This window comes from Homo sapiens, chromosome 4 (assembly GCF_000001405.40).
Source record: "Homo sapiens chromosome 4, GRCh38.p14 Primary Assembly".
Classification (NCBI taxonomy): Eukaryota; Metazoa; Chordata; class Mammalia; order Primates; family Hominidae; genus Homo; species Homo sapiens.
Window position 1 is genome coordinate 41107973 of NC_000004.12, and position 18780 is coordinate 41126752.

Genomic DNA, 18780 nt, shown 5'->3' on the forward strand with positions numbered 1-18780 from the left:
TATTCAAGTATTATTTATATATCAGATAATATTTATTGGTGATCATCTTATTATAGGCTATGTGGGAAAATATCCTTGTGCTTGAGAAATACATGTTGAAAAGGTCATAATCTCTACAACTAACTCAGATGGTTCAGCAAACATGTTTTAAGTGTGTGCGTGTAAAGAGACACAGACACAAAAAAACAGAAGAGATGGAGATAAGGCAGATTGGGCAAAATGTTAACACCTTATACAGCAGACTGGTCACAACCTATAAAAACTAGTAACCATAGTTACTTGTGGGCTATACCCACCCTGTATAAAGAGATCATAAAGGAGCTAATGGTTGAAAAGAAACTGACGCACATAGGAATATAGTTCTTCAGTGTTAGAGCATTTAGTCCATTTCTTAAAAAAAAAAGAAATCCAATTCTATTTCTTTTCTGAAGCAATTAATGGTTCTCAGTTGGGAGGAAGAACGTTGAGAAGAAAAAAAAAGAGACCCGTGGAAGAGGATGACAGTGGGTAAAAATTACACAGAAAAGTTCAGTTCTCCTCTACCCAAGTCTGAAGAAGAGGTAGGTCTTCAAGGTTTAAAACATTCAGCCTGTGTTTCCCATCCTGGTGAGAAACGCTGTGCAGGTGCGGACATTTCCAACAAGTCAGAAAGATTCCCTTTTCCAGATTTACACTGACCAAACACCCTGCCCAGGGAGGGCCAAGGACCTCATTCCTCACCCACCCCTGGCTGAGCCTGCATCAAGGGCAGTGTCTGACACACGCACCCAGGCCTACAGCCTTCAGCAGTCCCTGAAACCTGACATGTCTAAGACAGACATCACCCCAACAAACCCAACCCCTTGTTTCTCCTATCTCTTTTCTTGGTCTATCCAGTCTCAAAACTGCAGCTTCCTCTTTTGCTTCTCTTCCCACTGGCCCATTCTTCATACCTTCTCTGCCTCATCAGCATCCTCAAGGCCACACAGGCCACATGGCCTCGCACACTCCAAGTCAAAATACTCTCTCTTTTTCTCTGTTATTCCTCAATTTTCCATCTATGGTGCTCACTTGGCACTTTTTAAATATCTTTGCCACACAGCATTGATTCCACATCCACTGCAAGCCAGTGCTTTGCTATGTTATTTCACTTTAAAAAGCACTACAGGTCCCGCACCATGGTTCTCGCTGTAATCCCGACACTCTAAGAGGCTGAGGTGGGGGATCCTTTGAGGCCAGAAGTTCTAGGCTGCAATGGGCTACAATTGTGCCACTGCACTCCAGCCTAGGCGACAGGGCAAGACCCTATCTCTCTACACTAAAAAAAGAAAAAAATCACTATAATTTTCTTTTTTTTTTAGACGGAGTCTTGCTCTGTCGCCAGGCTGGAGTGCAGTGACGCCATCTTGGCTCACTGCAACTTCCACCTCCCGGGTTCAAGCAATTCTCCTGCCTCAGCCTCCCAAGTAGCTGGTACTACAGGGGCGTGCCACCACGCCCAGCTAATTTTTGGTTGTTTTGTTTTTTGTTTGTTTTTGAGATGGAGTCTCGCTCTGTCACCCAGGCTGGAGTGCAGTGGCGTGATCTTGGCTCACTGCAACCTCCGCCTCCTAGGTTCACGCCATTCTCCTGCCTCAGCCTCCCGAGTAGCCGGGATTACAGGCACCCACCACTACACTGGGCTAATTTTTTATATTTTTGGTAGAGATGGAGTTTCACCATGTTAGCCAGGATGGTCTTGATCTCCTGACCTCATGATCTGCCCGCCTCGGCCTCCCAAAATGCTGGGATTACAGCCGTGAGCCACTGCGCCTGGCCAAGAAAGCAATATGATTTTATAAAGGTGTTTATATCATTTTATCCCTATTTTACAGAAGAATCGGATGTTCCAACATGTGGAATAATTTGTCAAAGGTCACGGAGCTAAAAAATTAATGTTCAGACCCTTGTCTTCTGGTTCTACCCTAATATCAAGGTGCTTTGTATTATTTAGTTTTAAACACTGTCTCCTGTCCTTTAACCAAGCATAAGGTCCTTGAAGGATGAGACAAATTTTATCATCTTTGTGTTCTCTCCAGAACCTGGTAATACTCATAACTTATGATAACTGATTTATCCATCAAGACTCCACCCAGAGACCACCTTTCTTTCTAATTTACAGCCCCCATCCCTGCAGAAGCAACCACTCCCTCCTCCTTGGCCTCTGTATGTTTCCACTGCAGCACATGCAAGCCGGAATGCAAGGCCCGTGGCTGCCACACATGTGCCTGGCACGCAGGAGGCACTTAGTGTTTACTGAGTGAAATGATTACACATGGCACAGTCGTGTTTCTCAACAAGGTTGTCGTACCCTGTTAAAAAATTTGACCTCAGCCGGACACGGTGGCTCACGCTTATAATCCCAGCACTTTGGGAGACTGAGGAGGGTAGATCATGAGGTCAGGAGTTCGAGACCAGCCTGGCCAACACAGTGAAACCCCATCTCTACTAAAAATATAAAAGTCAGCTGTGTGTGGTGACGGGCACCTGTAATCCCAGCTACTCAGGAGGCTGAGGCAGGAGAATCACTTGAGCCCGGGAGGCAGAGGTTGCAGTGAGCCGAGATCGCACCACTGCACTCCAGCCTGGGCATCAGAGTTAAGACTCTGTCTCAAAAAAAAAAAAAAAAAGACCTCATTTTTATCCTTATCATGTACTGACAAAAATTATTTTAGGCAAGACTGACAGAAAATGGAGAAGAGAATATAGGTCTGAGCCCCTTTGCATCCCCTCTACTTTGTGTTCTCTCTACATGCTGCCCTGGGTATAGTATGTTCTAGAGCAGCGGTCCCCAACCTTTTTGGCACCAGGAACTGGTTTCGTGAAAGACAATTTTTCCCCAATAGGGTGAGGGGAGGTTGGAGGGGTTTAGGATAATTCAAATGCATGATGTTTATAGTGCACTTTATTTCTATTATTACATTGTAATATATAATGAAGTAACTATACAACTCACTGTAATGTAGAACCAGTGGGAACCCTGAGCTTGTTCTCCTGCAACTAGACATCCCATCTGGGGGTGATGGGAGACAGTACCAGATCATCAGGCATTAGATTCTCATAACGAGTGGGCAACCTAGATCCCTCGCATGCACAAGTCACAAAAGGGCTTGTGCTCCTATGAGAATCTAATGCTGCTGCTGATCTGACAGGAGGCGGAGCTCAGGCAGTAATGCAAGAGATAAGGAGCAGCTGGAAATATAGATTAAGCTTTCCTCACTCACCTGCCACTCACCTCCTGCTGTGCAGCCCTGTTCCTAACAGACCACAGAATGGTACCACTCCAAAACTTAGGGGTTGGGGACCCCATTTGCAGAAGAGTGCTTCCAAATTTTAATGTATATGTAATAGCAATCAATAAAAATTATGATTCAGTATGTCTGTGGTGGAGCCCAAGATTCTGCATTTCTAACAAGTTCCCAAGAGATAGCAATGCTGCTGATCCACAGAACATTCTTTGGAGTAGCAAAAAGTTCTAGACAGTTATAGTGAAACTATTCCCATTTAAAGAGTATATAACATGTAGATTGAAATGACTAGACATAATTTCACAGAATGTTAATGCTAGTTGTCTCTGGGTTTCTTCTTTCTGCTTTTCTGTAATTTCCATGTATTGTATAATGACTCTTGCTGATGGAAATAAAAATTTTAAATGCTCTCTCTATATATACATGCACAAAAAAAACTGCATATTTGGACATTTCCATTCTGCATAGCTCCATCTTTATTTAAGCAACAAATATACTTAAAAGGACTAGCCTTGGGATAGAACAGGTTGGTGAATTTAGCAATTCCCTATATTCTCATTTTAACATGCAAATTAACATGAAACAGCAATTACCCTTAACAAGCAGTCGCCATTACAAGTATTGTTTTTCTCAGGTCCTTTCCCTTAAAAGAAAGAGAAAGAATCCGTTCAGTTGGAATACAATAAAAGGCAAACCAAATTAAGGGCAGATAGAAAAAAACCAGCAGGCACTACACTGGAGCTCTTCCAAGTGGGTCAACAGAACCACAGGAAAGTTGAAACAGATGGAAATGCTTTTCTCACAGCAGAGGTGGGATGGGCTGAGTTCCACAGCAAGGTGAAATGAAATAAATTAAAGCATCATTCACTGTGCACCTGCAGGTGAGGTGGAAAAGAAATGATCCTTGGAGAAACCCCACCTCCAAAGCAGAATGAGGAGAGATCATTAGGAAAAGGCAATTAGAGGGCACATATTTGCAAGAAAACACTCCCAAAGCACCCGACCTCTCTTCAGTGGAGTTCCAATGAATACCAAGTTATATTCCCTCAGTCGTGGAAGATGTAGCCCAGCTGGTGGGCATTTCACTCCCACTGCAATGCCTGCAACAATTCCAGGGACTTGCTTGGCCACAAGTATCTGGGATACAGGCAGGGCCAAAAAGAAGGCACCCAACCATCCCATGGCCTATGCAGGGCACTCCTGGTTATAGCAGGCCTGGCAGCGCCCTGCACACTCTGCGTTCTACTCCTTTCCCGCTTCCAGGTAAGAGTTTCTCACTGCAGGATATGGGTTTTCATACTATAGTTCTGCCCACAGTCCTACCTGATGTTTTTCCTTAAAGAAAAACTGTGAAATTCTGTATGAAATTCCACTAAGGTTGGAACCTAGGGTTCAAAAAACCTGTAAATACAATGAAGCCAAAAATCACTTCTGTGGGTCTACACAGCATTATTAAGAATGTGGTTTCAGGCCGGGCGTGGTGGCTGACGCCTGTAATCCCAGCACTTTGGGAGGCCAAGGCGGGTGGATCATGAGGTCAGGAGTTCGAGACCAGCCTGACCAACATGGTGAAACCCCATCTGTACTAAAAATGCAAAATTAGCCGGGTGTGGTGGCATGCACCTGTAATCCCAGCTACTCAGGAGGCTGAGGCAGAAGAACTGCTTGAATCCAGGAGGCGGAGGTTGCAGTGAGCCGAGATTGCACAATGGCACTCCAACCTGGGCGACAGAGCGAGACTCTGTCTCAAAAAAAAAAACAATGTGGTTTCATATCTGTGAAGGTTAGACATACCAGATATTCAGCTCAACAGAAAACAACGAGCCACTGTATGTCTATTGAATTCTGTGAGTCCAGGGCTGGGTTATTTAACTGAAGGAAAGCAAGCATATGCTGAGTTTAAAAATGTGATTACCTGAAATTGCAAAACTAGTATCAAAGGCACCAACCTGATGAGAGAAAAAATATCTGAATTTATATGGACTTCCTTACATTTACTTTGAAATTCAGTATTGTTTCTTTTTTGAATTATTTTGGTGTTAGATAGGGATATCTGAGTTGGGGGAAAGCTCCATAATCTTTTCAATGTTCCAAATCCTAAAAATCTCAATATCATAGCTGGAATTTTAGATTTAAAGAGAGGTAAGAGGCATAACAATGCAATACAAAATCACGTCATCTGCAAACAGGGACAATTTGACTAAATTGTCACTCATCTAGTCAACATAGTATTGAAAGTTCTGGCCAGGGCAATCAGGCAAGAGAAAGAAATAAAGAGTATTCAAATAAAAAGAGAGGAAGTCAAATTGTCTCTGTTTGCAGATGACATGATTGTGTATTTAATACAATACACAGCCTTTTGCCTGGATTCTGGTTTAAAATTTTGTTAAAACACTAAAGGTCTGGGAAATGAATTTAGAAAGTTTGATTATGGACTAATATTAAGTAATATTTGGGGACTACTGTTAATTTTGTTTGGTATGATAATGGTGGTGTACTTTTATTATGAAGCTTCCTTATTTTTTTGGAGATGGATGCTAAAGTATTGAGGGTTAAAATGTCATGACAGGCCAGGTGCGGTAGCTCACGCCTGTAATCCCAGTACTTTGGGAGGCAGAGGTGGGTGCATCTCCTGAGATCAGGAGTTTGAGACCAGCCTGGCCAACATGGTGAACCCTGTCTCTACTAAAAATACAAAAATTAGTGCTCGCTTCAGTAACACATATACTACAACTGGAACGACACAGACATTAGCCTGGCCCCTGCGCAAGGATGACACGCAAATTCATGGAGCGTTCCATATTTTTCTTATGAACATCAACGCAAAAATCCTCAATAAAATACTGGCAAACCCAATCTGGCAGCACATCAAAAAGCTTATCCACCACGATCAAGTTGGCTTCATCCCTGAGAAGCAAGGCTGGTTCAACATACACAAATCAATAAACGTAATCCACCACATAAACAGAACCAATGACAAAAACCACATGATTATCTCAATAGATGCAGAAAAGGCCTTCGATAAAATTCAACACCTCTTCATGCTAAAAACTTAATAAACTAGGTATTGATGGAACGTATTTCAAAATAATAAGAGTTATTTATGACAAACCCACAGCCAATATCATACTGAATGGGTAAAAGCTGGAAGCATTCCCTTTGAAAACTGGCACAAGACAAGGATGCCCTCTCTCATCACTCGTATTCAACATAGTATTGAAAGTTCTGGTCAGGGCAATCAGACAAGAGGAAGAAATAAACAGTATTCAAATAAAAAGAGAGGAAGTCAAATTGTCTCTGTTTGCAGATGACATGATTGTGTATTTAGAAAGCCCCATCATTTCAGCCCAAAATCTCCTTAAGCTGATAAGCAACTTCCACAAAGTCTCAGGATACAAAATCAATGTGCAAAAATCACAAGTATTCCTATACACCAATAATAGACGAACAGAGAGCCAAATCATAAGTGAACTCCCATTCACAACTGCTACAAAAAGAATAAAATACCTAGGAATCCAACTTACAAGGGATGTGAAGGACCCCTTCAAGGAGAACTACAAACCACTGCTCAAGGAAATAAGAGAGGACACAAACAAATGGAAAAACATTCCACTCTCATGGATAGGAAGAATCAATATTGTTAAAATGGCCATACTGCCCAAAGTAATTTATAGATTCAATGCTATCCCCATCAAGCTACCATTGACTTTCTTCACAGAATTAGAAAATACTACTTTAAATTTCACATGGAACCAAAAAAGAGCCCGTATACCCAAGACAATCCTAAGCAAAAAGAACAAAGCTGGAGGCATCATGCTACCTGACTTCAAACTATACTACAAGGCTACAGTAACCAAAACAGCATGGTACTGGTACTAAAACATATATACAGACCAATGGAACAGAACAAAGGCATCAGAAATAACGCCACACAGCTACAACCATCTGATCTTTGATAAACCTGACAAAAACAAGCAATGGGGAAAGGATTCCCTATTTAATAAATGGTGCTGGGAAAACTGGCTAGCCATATGCAGAAAACTGAAACTGGACCCTCTCCTTACAACTTATACAAAAATTAACTCATGATGGATTAAATACTTAAACGTAGATCTAAAATCATAAAAACCCTAGAAGAAAACCTAGAGAATACCATTCAGGACATAGGCATGGGCAAAGACTTCATGACTAAAACACCAAAAGCAATGGCAACAAAAACCAAAATTGACAAATGGGATCTAATTAAAACTAAAGAGCTTCTGCACAGCAAGGGAAACTATCATCAGAGTGAACAGGCAACCTACAGAATGGGAGAAAATTTTTGCAATCTATCAATCTGACAAAGGGCTAATATTCAAAATCTACAAGGAGCTTAAAAAAATTTCCAAAAAAAGACCCATCAAAAAGTGGGCAAAGGATATGAACAGACACTTCTCAAAAGAAAACATTTATGCAGCCAACAAACATATGAAAAAATGCTCATCATCACTGGTCATTACAGAAATGCAAATCAAAACCACAATGAGATACCATCTCATGCCAATTAGAATGGCGATCATTAAAAAGTTAGGAAACAACAGATACTAGAGAGGATGTGGAGAAATAGGAACACTATTACACTGTTGGTGGGAGTGTAAATTAGTTCAACCATTGTGGAAGACAGTGTGGCGATTCCTCGAGGATCTAGAACCAGAAATACCATTTGACCCAGCAACCCCATTACTGGGTATATACAAAAAGATTATAAATCATTCTACTGTAAAGACACATACACACGTATGTTTATTGCAGCACAGTTCACAATAGCAGAGACTTGGAAACAACCTAAATGCCCATCAATGATAGACTGGATAAAGCAAATGTGGCACATATACACCATGGAATACTATGCAGACATAAAAAAGGATGAGTTCATGTCTTTTGCAGGAACATGGATGAAGCTGGAAACCATCATTCTTAGCAAACTAACACAGGAACAGAAAACCAAACACTGCATGTTATCACTCATGGGTGGGAGTTGAACAATGGGAACACATGGACACAGGGAGAGGAAGATCACACACCGGGGCCTGTCGGTGGGTGGGGGGCCAGGGGAGGGACAGCATTAGGAGAAATACCTAATGTATATGGCGGGTTGATGGGTGCAGCAAGCCAACATGGCAAGTGTATACCTATGTGGCAAACCTGCACGTTCTGCACATGTACCCCAGAACTTAAAAGTATAACTTAAAAAAATACAAAAATGAGCTGGGCATGGTGGCGGGTGCCTGTAATCCCAGCTACTCGGGAGGCTGAGGCAGGAGAATTGCTTGAACCTGGGAGGCAGAGGTTGCAGTGACCCAAGATCGCGTCACTGCTTTCCAACATGGGCGACAAGAGCGAAACTCTGTCTCAAAAAAATAAAGTCATGCTAGCTATAATTAATTTTTAATGATTTGGCAAAAAATAATATGTATTGATTTCTATACAGAAAGCAAATAATGTTAATAATTGTATAAATGAGGGGGGTTATATGGGTGTTCATTGTACTGTTCTTTTTTCTATACTTGAAAACTTTTAGAAAAGCTGAAATATATATCTGTCAAAAGCATTTATGGCCTTACACCTTTCTCTCTCTCGTCGTGTTGTCTTGCCAAATTAAATTATAGTCCACTTACATTGGGTGATTTTCTTTCCTCCAAAAGACATTCTCACACGTTCCCACCTCTGTCGCTTTGTGAGATACAGTCTCTCAACCTGGTGTTTTATTCTCCCATCACTGTCCCTCAGTTAAGAACAGACCCATTCTTTTGGGTCCATCACAAATGTTGCCCTCTCTAGGAAAGCTTTCCTAACCCCCCATCCCAACTTTAGGCGATCCCCTCTTTTCTGACTCTCAGTGACACTCTGCAGCTCACATCACAGGTATCACATTCTGTCCTGCATGGTCTTTAAGAAGATATTTACTAAGAGTTTCTCATGGGTGAGGCCAGAGTCTGGAAACTCTCATATGTGTTCTTTCATTTAATCCCTACCTCAATGAGGTAGGAATTATTATTGTTGTTATTATTATTATTATTTTTTTTTTTTTTTGAGATGGAGTCTCACTCTGTCACCCAGGCTGGAGTGCAGTGGCGCAATCTCAGCTCACTGCAACCTCCACCTCCCAGGTTCAAGCAATTCTCCTGCCTCAGCCTCTCGAATAGCTGGGATTACAGGTGCCCACCACCACGCCCAGCTAATTTTTGTATTTTTGATAAAGATGGGGTTTCACCATCTTGGCCAGGCTGGTCTTCAACTCCTGACCTTGTGATCCACCCGCCTTGGCCTCCCAAAGTGCTGGGATTACAGGCGTGAGGCACCACGCCTGGCCTAGGAATTATTATCATCTTCTTTTCACAGGTGAGAAAACAGGTTGAGAGGATGGGTGACTTGCCCAAGTCATAGGATTGGTGGATGGTAGGGCCAGGGTTCATTCCCACTCAGCCCCATCTGCTTCCAAATTCCTAAGCGCTAGTGTGGTGTCATTTGCACCATGGCTTGATCCTTCCCTACTCTATTATACCAACTCAAGGGCAGGCAGAGCATCTTTATTTCAACAACATCTGTGCAAAGTCACTATGTGTCAGGCAACTGTTCTACATGATGGGATAAAGTGGCAAATGAAAAAGGACAGTATTTGACTCAGGTCAAAACTAAGGAAATCTAGCTGAGGGCAGTGGCTCATATCTGTAATCCCAGCACTTTGAGAAGCTAAGTGGGGAGAGACTCACATGAGCCCTGGAGTTCAAGACCAGCCTGGGCAACACGGAGAAACTGTATCTACAAAACAAAACAAAAAAAAAAATTAGCCAGGAGCAGTGGGGCATACCTGTGGTCCCAGCTATTCAGGAGGCTGAGGAAGGAAGATCAGTTGAGCCTGGGAGATCAAGGCTGCAGTGAGCCATGATTGTACCACGCACTCCAGCCTGGGTGATGGAGCAAGATCCTATCAAAACAAAAAACAAAAAACAAAAACAAAAAACCCTAAGGAAATCTGATCTAATTAGCCACTAGTCGTGGATTTGAATGAGCTGACATGGAGCCAGGCCTTGAAGGATCTTGAGGAACAGAGTCACTAGTCGTGGATTTGAATGAGTTCTGTGTCTTGACTTCAATTTCTAAGCCTCCGTTTTCCTCATCTATAAAATGATGATGATACCTTTACCACCCATATCATGGTATTTTTATGAGGCTAAATTACAGCATGCAACACAAACCGTCAAATACCCGAATGCTGTTAATTATTGTCATTAATATTATCAAATGGCATCTATTAAATATTTATGTGTCTGTGACGCTTGTTATCACATCTGTAGTTTTCCAGGAGTTTGATCTAAAAAAAGAGTTACTATCACTGATGGTGATTTATTAGGCCAGCTTCATATAGGAAGGTTTTTATATGTGGTACTTTTTATATGTGCTGAATAAATCTGATAGCCTTTAGTTAATAAAAACGTATCAATATAGCTTAATTATAACAAGCATACCATATTAAGATACAAAAAAAGAGAAAGGGAGGTGAGGGAGTATTGAGATACCCTGTACTATCTGCTCAGTTTTCCTGTAAATCTAAAAATGCTTTAAAAAAAATTAAGACTGGCCGGGCGCGGTGGCTCACGCCTGTAATTCTAGCACTTTGGCAGGCTGAAGCAGGCAAAATGATTAAGCTCAGGAGTTCAAGACTGGCCTTGGCAATACAGCGAAACCCCAACTCTACAAAAATACAAAAATTAGCCAGGCGTTGTAGTGCGCACCTGTGGCCCCAGCTACTCAGGAGGAGGGGGCAGGAAGATGGTTTGAGCCCTGGAGGTTGAGGCTGCGGCAAACCGAGATCATGCCACTGCACTCCAGCCTGGGTGACAGAGTGAGGCCTGTCTCAAAAATAATTGATTTTTTTTTTTTAAGAGCATGAACATGAGGTCAATTTTCTTGACTGGCTTATAAACTACCTCTTAAACTAATTCCAAAGAAGTGTAGTCCTATCGTCTTTAACAAAGAAGGTGGCACTGAAACGTGTGAATGGGGCCGACTGGGGGAGTGAGTTTGAACTAGGATCTCTAGCTAAATGTGTGGCACGTGTTTTTTAAACTTAATCTCATGCATTTATATTCCTCCTTTTATACAACACTAACATGTTTCGGGCTCCAAGTTCTCCAGCTTAATTCACTACATTTTAATTAACATACCCAGGAAGGAATTTACCACACCTCCTACTCCTCTAACAAGTAAAGTAAGTCCCAGAAAGGCTCTAGGAAGTTCCATTAAAAAAAAAAAAAAAAAAAAGTTGGCAATTTTTTTTTCCTTAAAAATCGCAGTCCCAATTCCCAAGTTCTATAGACAATCTTAAACCCAGAACTTCAAGCGTCTGTCTGTACATTAACATACTCCACCATACTATATCCGATTCCTGCCTAAAGAAGGGAGCTCAGCCTTTCACATACCCTGTCCAGAGACTCCTCTCAACTGTAACAAGAGACTCCACACTGCATTTGTGAGATCTGCACATATAAAAAGTCTACCACATATAAAAACCTTCCTATGTGGAGCTGGCCTAAGAAATCACCATCAGTGGCAGCAACTGTGTTTTTTAGATCAAACTCCTGGAAAACTACAAATGTGATAACAAGCATCAAAAATAAATATTTAACAGATGCCATTTGATAATATTCATGACAATAATAAGTAACAGCATTCGGGTATTTTATGGTTTGTGTTCCATGCTGTAATTTAGCCTCATAAAAATACCGTGATATGGGTGGTAAAGATGTCATCACCATTATATAGATGAGGAAAACGGAGGCTTACGAGTTGAAGTCAAGACACAGAACTCATTCAAATCCACGACTAGTGACTCTGTTCCTCAGGATCCTTCAAGGCCTGGCTCCATGCCAGCTGTGTTTTCACTCTCTCCACCAGAAAGACAGGATCCCTCTCATTTTTTAATAATTTTCCACAGTCCTCTTGTCATCCATGGAGGTTCTCTCTTTCTCTGCAGGCCACCTATCTGTTCATGCCTCCAATCTCCTGAGCAGAATTATATAAACCGACTCAGGCCTAGGACCTGGCTCACTCACCCAGGTCCCGCTGTGTTAACAAAGTGCCTTTGCATGCAGTGGAAGCTCCTCAACCCCAAAGGCCCCACAACCACGTGACTGATCCTGTGCTGCAAAACCGACACATGAGCAAAAGCCAAGGAACAAAAACAGACCTCGTTCCAGTGCTTCAAAACTTACGGGAAATTCAAGGTGACTTATTTTCCTTGACCTTAAAATAATGTTTAAGTTTTATAACATGGCTGATAATCATAAATGGAAAAGGGAGTTTTCTTTTCCCCTGGGGCCCTGAGCCAGCCCTCCAATTTGGGGCCAAGATTGTTGAGAAAATGTGCCACGATACTTAATTTTTGGCCAGATTCCAGAAAAAGTAGGGGAGAAAAATGAGTTTCACCATCCGTACAGCTTGGGCTGCTTTCACAGGCACCGCGCTCTTGCAAAATACAGCCTAAAATTGACTTCTGCATATTTCTCTTTGCCAAGTTGACCATTTTGTTAGTAGAACCTTTGATTCTCAGAACCTAAATCAAGTGAAAAGTCAAATATTTTTAAAAGATCAAATTATCTAAAAACTTCAGCTCTGCCTCAGTACAAAATATAAAGCTCCTGGCTTTATATACACAGATAGTGACTAATTCAGGGTGTTAACTTCTTGTACCTGAAAGAAAATGGAAGGCTTCCAAAGTACTGGGATATCACAGAAGCTGCTGAAAGAAGCAGTTTACTGAATGGTACTTCTGTGTCTTCACAGTTTTAACATGCTCAACGGTGGAAAACGAAAACTGTTTGAAGTGGCTAAAATTCAATGCTTGCTTTGTTTGTAACCAGAATAGCCAAAACTGAATATAGTTCCCCAAGATTTTTAATGTCCTGCTTACTGTATTTTTCCTTCTGCAGCCAATTAGAAATGATACTTTTAAAAAATAAAATGTTTAACTCTAGCATCAGTAACATACGTGCTTTGAATTTTTATCAGGAATGGAAAATGGAATGCGTAGAGCTACCCACATGTTCCTTGTCTTGCAAATATTATAGCATCAAATACCACAAAAATAATGAGAAATGTCCTCAAATTTCACAATTAATAAATAGTTCCTCTGTCCTGGTCAGAAAAGCAATGGAAGAATACCAGAGGGTACTTGGGAGCGTGCGTGTGTACACGCTCATGCGTGCGCATCTGTGGTGTGGCTGGTGGTGGGAGTGAGGGAAAGCGACAGAGTTGGGATGCAGCTAAGACTCCTGAGGTGTCCCCTAGGATGGAAATCCTCCACCTGCCCTCTACTCTGCCACCGTGTTGTGTGTTCTGGGAAGCTGACCCATTTAACAACAGGCTGTCTTGCCCACTGGCTCCCATTTTGGTTCAGCCAAATCCTTTCCCACCATATTCCCTGGGTCCTGTCAGGTGGCTCTCTATATAGGGTCCCCTGGAAACTGCTTCCTCCCTCACCCCTCAGGCCTAGGAGTGGGAGGAGCTTGGCTATTACTAGCCCCCGGATGCAGCCACGTCTTTGTGGCTCCTATATACCCTGTCCCCAATATTTTTTATGGCAACATTTTTAATATATGGCTTCCTTTTTTGGTTGTGTGTGTGTGTGTGTATGTGTGTATGTGTGTGTGTATGTGTGTGTGTCTGAAACAGTGTCTCACACTGTCACCAAAGCTGGAGTGCAGTGGCCCCATCTCGACTCACTGTAGCCTTGACTTCCCGAGCTCAAGCAATCCCTGACCTCAGCCTCCTAAGTAGTGGAACTACAGGGCACACCACCAGGCTTGACTAATTTTGTTTATTTTTTGTACAGACAGGAGTCTTACTAAGTTGCCCAGGCTGGTCTCAAACTCCTGGGCTCAAGCAATCCTCCTGCCTTGGCCACCCAAAGTGCAAAGATTACCAGTGTGAGCCACCACACCTGCTTGTTTTTAATATATGTTAATCAACAAGTACAATGACACTTGAGGACAGTACAAGTATCTTCACTGTTCTGACTGGGGTCTGTACAATAGTTTTCCTCCACAATAGAAGCTGACTTTTTTTGAAAATTTTTTATATAATTTAATGAAACAATTTGGTCTCCCTACCTTCTTCCCCTCTGTTCTTCAATCCATTCTAAACAACACTAGCAGATTAATTGTCCTGAAGCACCAAGGTAGGAGTGGCATTCCCTCCACACTAGAGTCCATTGTCTTCCCATTACCTACCATATGCCACCTGTTTTCTTATGGGACCTGGACTGATATGGATACCTGAAGCTTTGAACACTCCCCTAAGAAGATCCTGGCCTGTAATTCCTATTGTTTTGATCCTACTTTTATAACACTCTTAAAGCTAACTGTTGTGGCTGGTGAACTGAAAGGGTTTTTCTTTCTTTTAATCCACAAAATGCCATTATCTGCAATAAACCACAAGGCAGAGGATATATCTTGTAATTTCAGTGATTTTTTTAAAAAACATTACCAGATCAAGTTAGTTCTTTGCTCAAAGCCTTTTCGTCTCTCCCAGAATTAAAAATGTTTTAAGTCCTTATTCTGCCCTGCCGTGCCATGCCCTCCGAAACCTGTCCCTCGCCCCACCAATATTTTTCTGTCCTCACCTCTGCCCTGGCCTCCAGAACAGCATTCCCATTCTTCAAACACGCCGCACTGGCTCCACCTGGGGGCCTATGCCCCTGCAGTTCCCTCCACCTGGAATGCCACCTCCTGAGTCTTCATGTCACAAATTCCTACTCACCTGATTCTTGTGGCCAAAAGCCTTGGCCCAGCACCACATCTCCAGCAGCCCTCTCTTGCCCCAGCTCTCTCTCTCTCTCTCTCCCCCTTTGTCTTTTCTTCCTGGTGCTTCTTCCCCCCAGTGCTTACGATCCATCTCCTCCTATGAGAATGTAGGGTCCCCAAGGAGGGGCTTTTGTTAGGCTCACCATTCATCGTCACTGGCTGAACAGTGGCAAGCAGACAGCCGGCACTCACTAAATATTTGTTGAATAAATGAATGATTCGGTCGGTCAGAGAGGGAAAAGAAAGAACAGCTGGTCCACTTTCTTAATGGTTGTGGCTCAATTTCCAGTGACCAAGGAGATGCTCAGTGGTTATCTTTTGCAGATTACATTGAAGGGATTCTGTTTCTATTAAAAGATGAGCTTATGGAATAACCTGCCATCCAACATGAGGATATTCCACCCTGCATGTCAAAACCAGCACACTGCACAGTAAACAATCAAAAATATGATCAAATGTAAATTCAGAGGCTGAGTGTGGTGGCTCACACCTGTAATCCCAGCACTTTGGGAGGCCAAGGCAGGTGAGGTCAGGAGTTTGTGACCAGCCTGGTCAACATGGTGAAACTCCATCTCTACTAAAAATACAAAAATTAGCTGGGTATGGTGGCATGCGCCTGCAGTACCAGCTACTCAGGAGGCTGAGGCAGGAGAATTGCTTGAAGTTGGAAGGCGGAGGTTGCAGTGAGCCGAGATGGCACCACTGCACTCCAGCCTGGGCGACAGCAAGACTCTGTCTCACAAAAAAAAACCAAAAAACAAAACAAAACAAAAAAAAACCACAAGTAAATTTAAACGATTGCTTAAACTAGCAGGGAAGGGCAGAGATATCTGTAAAGGACCAGACAGTAAATAACTGAACACTGTGTGGACTAGAGTCTCTGTGACAATACTCAACTCTGCTGCTGTACCATGAAAGTTGCTTTTCATGGCCATCCAGAAAGCTGTGCTGCCTCAGCAGGAAGAAGCTTGCCCACAGAGCTTTGATATACAGTGCGGAATATCCTCATACATAGATGAACACAGCTGTGTTCCAATAAAACTTTATTATAAACAATGAAATACAAATTTCTATAATTTTCAGCTGTCACAAAATTCTTCTCCTACTTTTGACTTTTCTTCAAGCATTTATTTTATTTTATTTATTTTATTTTTTGAGACAAAGTCTCACTCTGTCGCCCAGGCTGGAGTGCAGTGGCGTGATCTCGGCTCACTGCAAGCTCCGCCTCCCGCATTCACGCCATTCTCCTGCCTCAGCCTCCTGAGTAGCTGGGACTGTAGGCGCCCACCACCATGCCCGGCTAATTTTTTGTATTTTTAGTAGAGACCGTGTTAGCCAGGATGGTCTCGATCTCTTGACGTCGTGATCCGCCCGCCTCCCCAAATCCCAAAGTGCTGGGATTACAGGCGTGAGCCACCGCGCCTGGCCTCTTCAAGCATTTAAAAATGTAAAAACCATTCTAGGCTCATGGGCCATATAAAAAAAACAGGTGGCAAGCTGGATTTGGCCTCCAAGCTGTAGTTTGCTGATCTCTGGTTTAAATCATTTCTCAAGCTGGCTATTTTTGTCTTGATAAAATACATTCTACCCCATGAATCTGCTGGATATTCTACAACTGATTAAACATGGAATAAATGCATTTGTTATAATTGGCTGGAAAAATAGTTTATTTGGGTAAATAAACATCACTTAATCACTCTTCTAAGACTATCCTTCCACCCAGATTTTGGTCATCTTGTCACACAAGCTCTGTTAGCGTCTCTTTCCTCACCTAAGTACCTTCAATCTGCCATCCTAGTGAAGAAATTCCATCGTACTCTTTCTTTCTTTTCAGAAATGGGAATTACAATGAAACTTTGGGATAGGGAGAAAAGGGTGGCTTCCCAAGCTTTGGGGCAAGGCAAATTCCAGGATAATGTTTTATGACTAAGGGTACAATGCGTTGCCTACACTTTCCTTTTAAGTACTTTCAAACACACCCTGTTGTGTGGGCCCTGGAATGAGAACTATTTTGATTGCAGGTGCTGCTGGAATTCAGGGTCATCTGTCCCCACAAGCTACAAAATTTGCTGAAAAGGCCAGGTTGCAGGATGGCATAGCCAAAAGCATGTTATTTCATAACTTAAAGCACAAGATTTTAAATTTCACTCAATTATAATAGTCTCATTCCTCTTACATAACAGCAATATGTGAAGATATGGAATTTGAAGAAGCACTTTTCATGGTATTACTCAGAAGAGTCGGCCACACATAATGAAGAGGTGTGATTCACATCAAACACATCTATGTGGCCCTAGATACAAAATAGAGAATGAGAGTACTTCACTTTAGGTCTCCAGGTATTTTAAATATCCTGAGGTTGGGTGTCCCAGCAACCCAATCAAGAAGGAATTCAAGAAGATAGTTCTCAACATTTATGCCTCTCATTTTCTTCAAACCTAGGATACATCGAAAAAAAACAAAATTTACTATAACCTAATTAATCACAGACTCCACTTGCCCTACCCATTTTGAAAACAGATCTATTGGAATGTGAAATGAAAACTTTTTAAGTTCTTTGGAAGACCTCTAAGTGCTCTGCTGCTTGGAAAATTTCCAAGTAAATCAAATTCAAATAAATAGGCCAAAGGAAGCCAATGGTTTTCCAACTCCTACTGTAAGTAACATACACCCTACACATTTACTGTGAAAACCAGGGATTAAATTAAGCTTCACTTAAATTCCAAGCTGCCGGAGACAGTCTCTTGAGAAAGCAGCCTTGGCTTGAAACCCTGGCATCCCATGCACATGGTCCAATTCACACCAAAGACAGCCGTCCACAAAGCTGTCCTGCCTCAGCAAGAATCTCATCTAGTCAGCTGAGCTTGGGACTATCCATATAAATGAAACCCGAGGACTCCAATCACAGAAAGTTGTAAGATAAGCACCTCAGCTTCGTTTCACACCTTTAATTGGAGTTTTGGAAGGAAACAAAATGCTGACAAGGTATGCAGCTTCCAACAAAAATGATCAGAAAGGCCAGGCACAGTGGTTCACACCTGTAATCCCAGCACTGTGGGAGGCAGAGACCGGGGGAATGCTTGAATCCAGGAGTTCAAGACCAGCCTGGGCAACATAGTGAGATCGTGTCTCTACAAAAAAAAAAAAAAAAAATTAGCTGGGCATGGTGGTGCATGCCTGTGGTCCCAGCTACTTGGGAGGCTGAAGCAGGAGGATCGCTTGAGACCAGGAAGTCAAGGCTACAGTAAGCTGTTTCACACCTCTGCACTCCAGTCTGGGCGACAGAGCAAGACCCTGTCAATAAATAAGTAAATGAATAAACAACAGAAGAAAATGATCAGAAATGAATGACTAATGAACAACAGACAACAGCAGTTACCTGGCGACCCTGTGAGCATTCAAACAGAAACATCCATCTTGGGATACCCAGGGCACTACTGAGTCTCCCTCTTCCTGACTTGCAGGGAGACTGTGATGCTAAAATAGCCTGGGCTGCCTGCTTGCAGTAGTTTGATAGGACTGCCATAACAAAGTACCACGACTGGGTGGCTTAAACAATAGAAAGTTATTTTCTCACATTTCTGGAGGCTAGAAATGTGAAATCAAGGTGTCAGCAGCACTGGTTTATTCTGAGGCCTCTCTCCTTGGCTTGTAGAGAGCCGTCTTATCCC

General features: G+C 42.3%; 1 protein-coding gene and 1 pseudogene across 48 annotated transcripts in view, besides 2 other annotated features; one reads left to right on the forward strand and one right to left on the reverse strand.

Moving 5' to 3' along the window:
* The window catches only part of APBB2 (amyloid beta precursor protein binding family B member 2), a 404516-nt gene that overhangs the window by 297946 nt on the left and 87790 nt on the right, over positions 1 to 18780 (reverse strand). The window lies entirely within an intron of this gene.
* RNU6-1195P (RNA, U6 small nuclear 1195, pseudogene) lies at positions 5970 to 6072 on the forward strand (annotated as a pseudogene).
* Positions 16580 to 17779: an enhancer, noted in NCBI's record as "P300/CBP strongly-dependent group 1 enhancer chr4:41126569-41127768 (GRCh37/hg19 assembly coordinates)". NCBI's record gives its function as "activates an origin of replication core promoter dependent on BRD2, BRD4, P300/CBP, MED14 and CDK7 cofactors, with strong dependence on P300/CBP, by STARR-seq in HCT116 cells {active_cell/tissue: HCT116}" and the evidence as "EXISTENCE:reporter gene assay evidence [ECO:0000049][PMID:35650434]".
* Positions 16654 to 17342: an enhancer, noted in NCBI's record as "OCT4-NANOG-H3K4me1 hESC enhancer chr4:41126643-41127331 (GRCh37/hg19 assembly coordinates)". NCBI's record gives its function as "activates a minimal SCP1, AML or CMV promoter by ChIP-STARR-seq in primed H9 embryonic stem cells {active_cell/tissue: H9 hESC(primed)}" and the evidence as "EXISTENCE:reporter gene assay evidence [ECO:0000049][PMID:30033119]".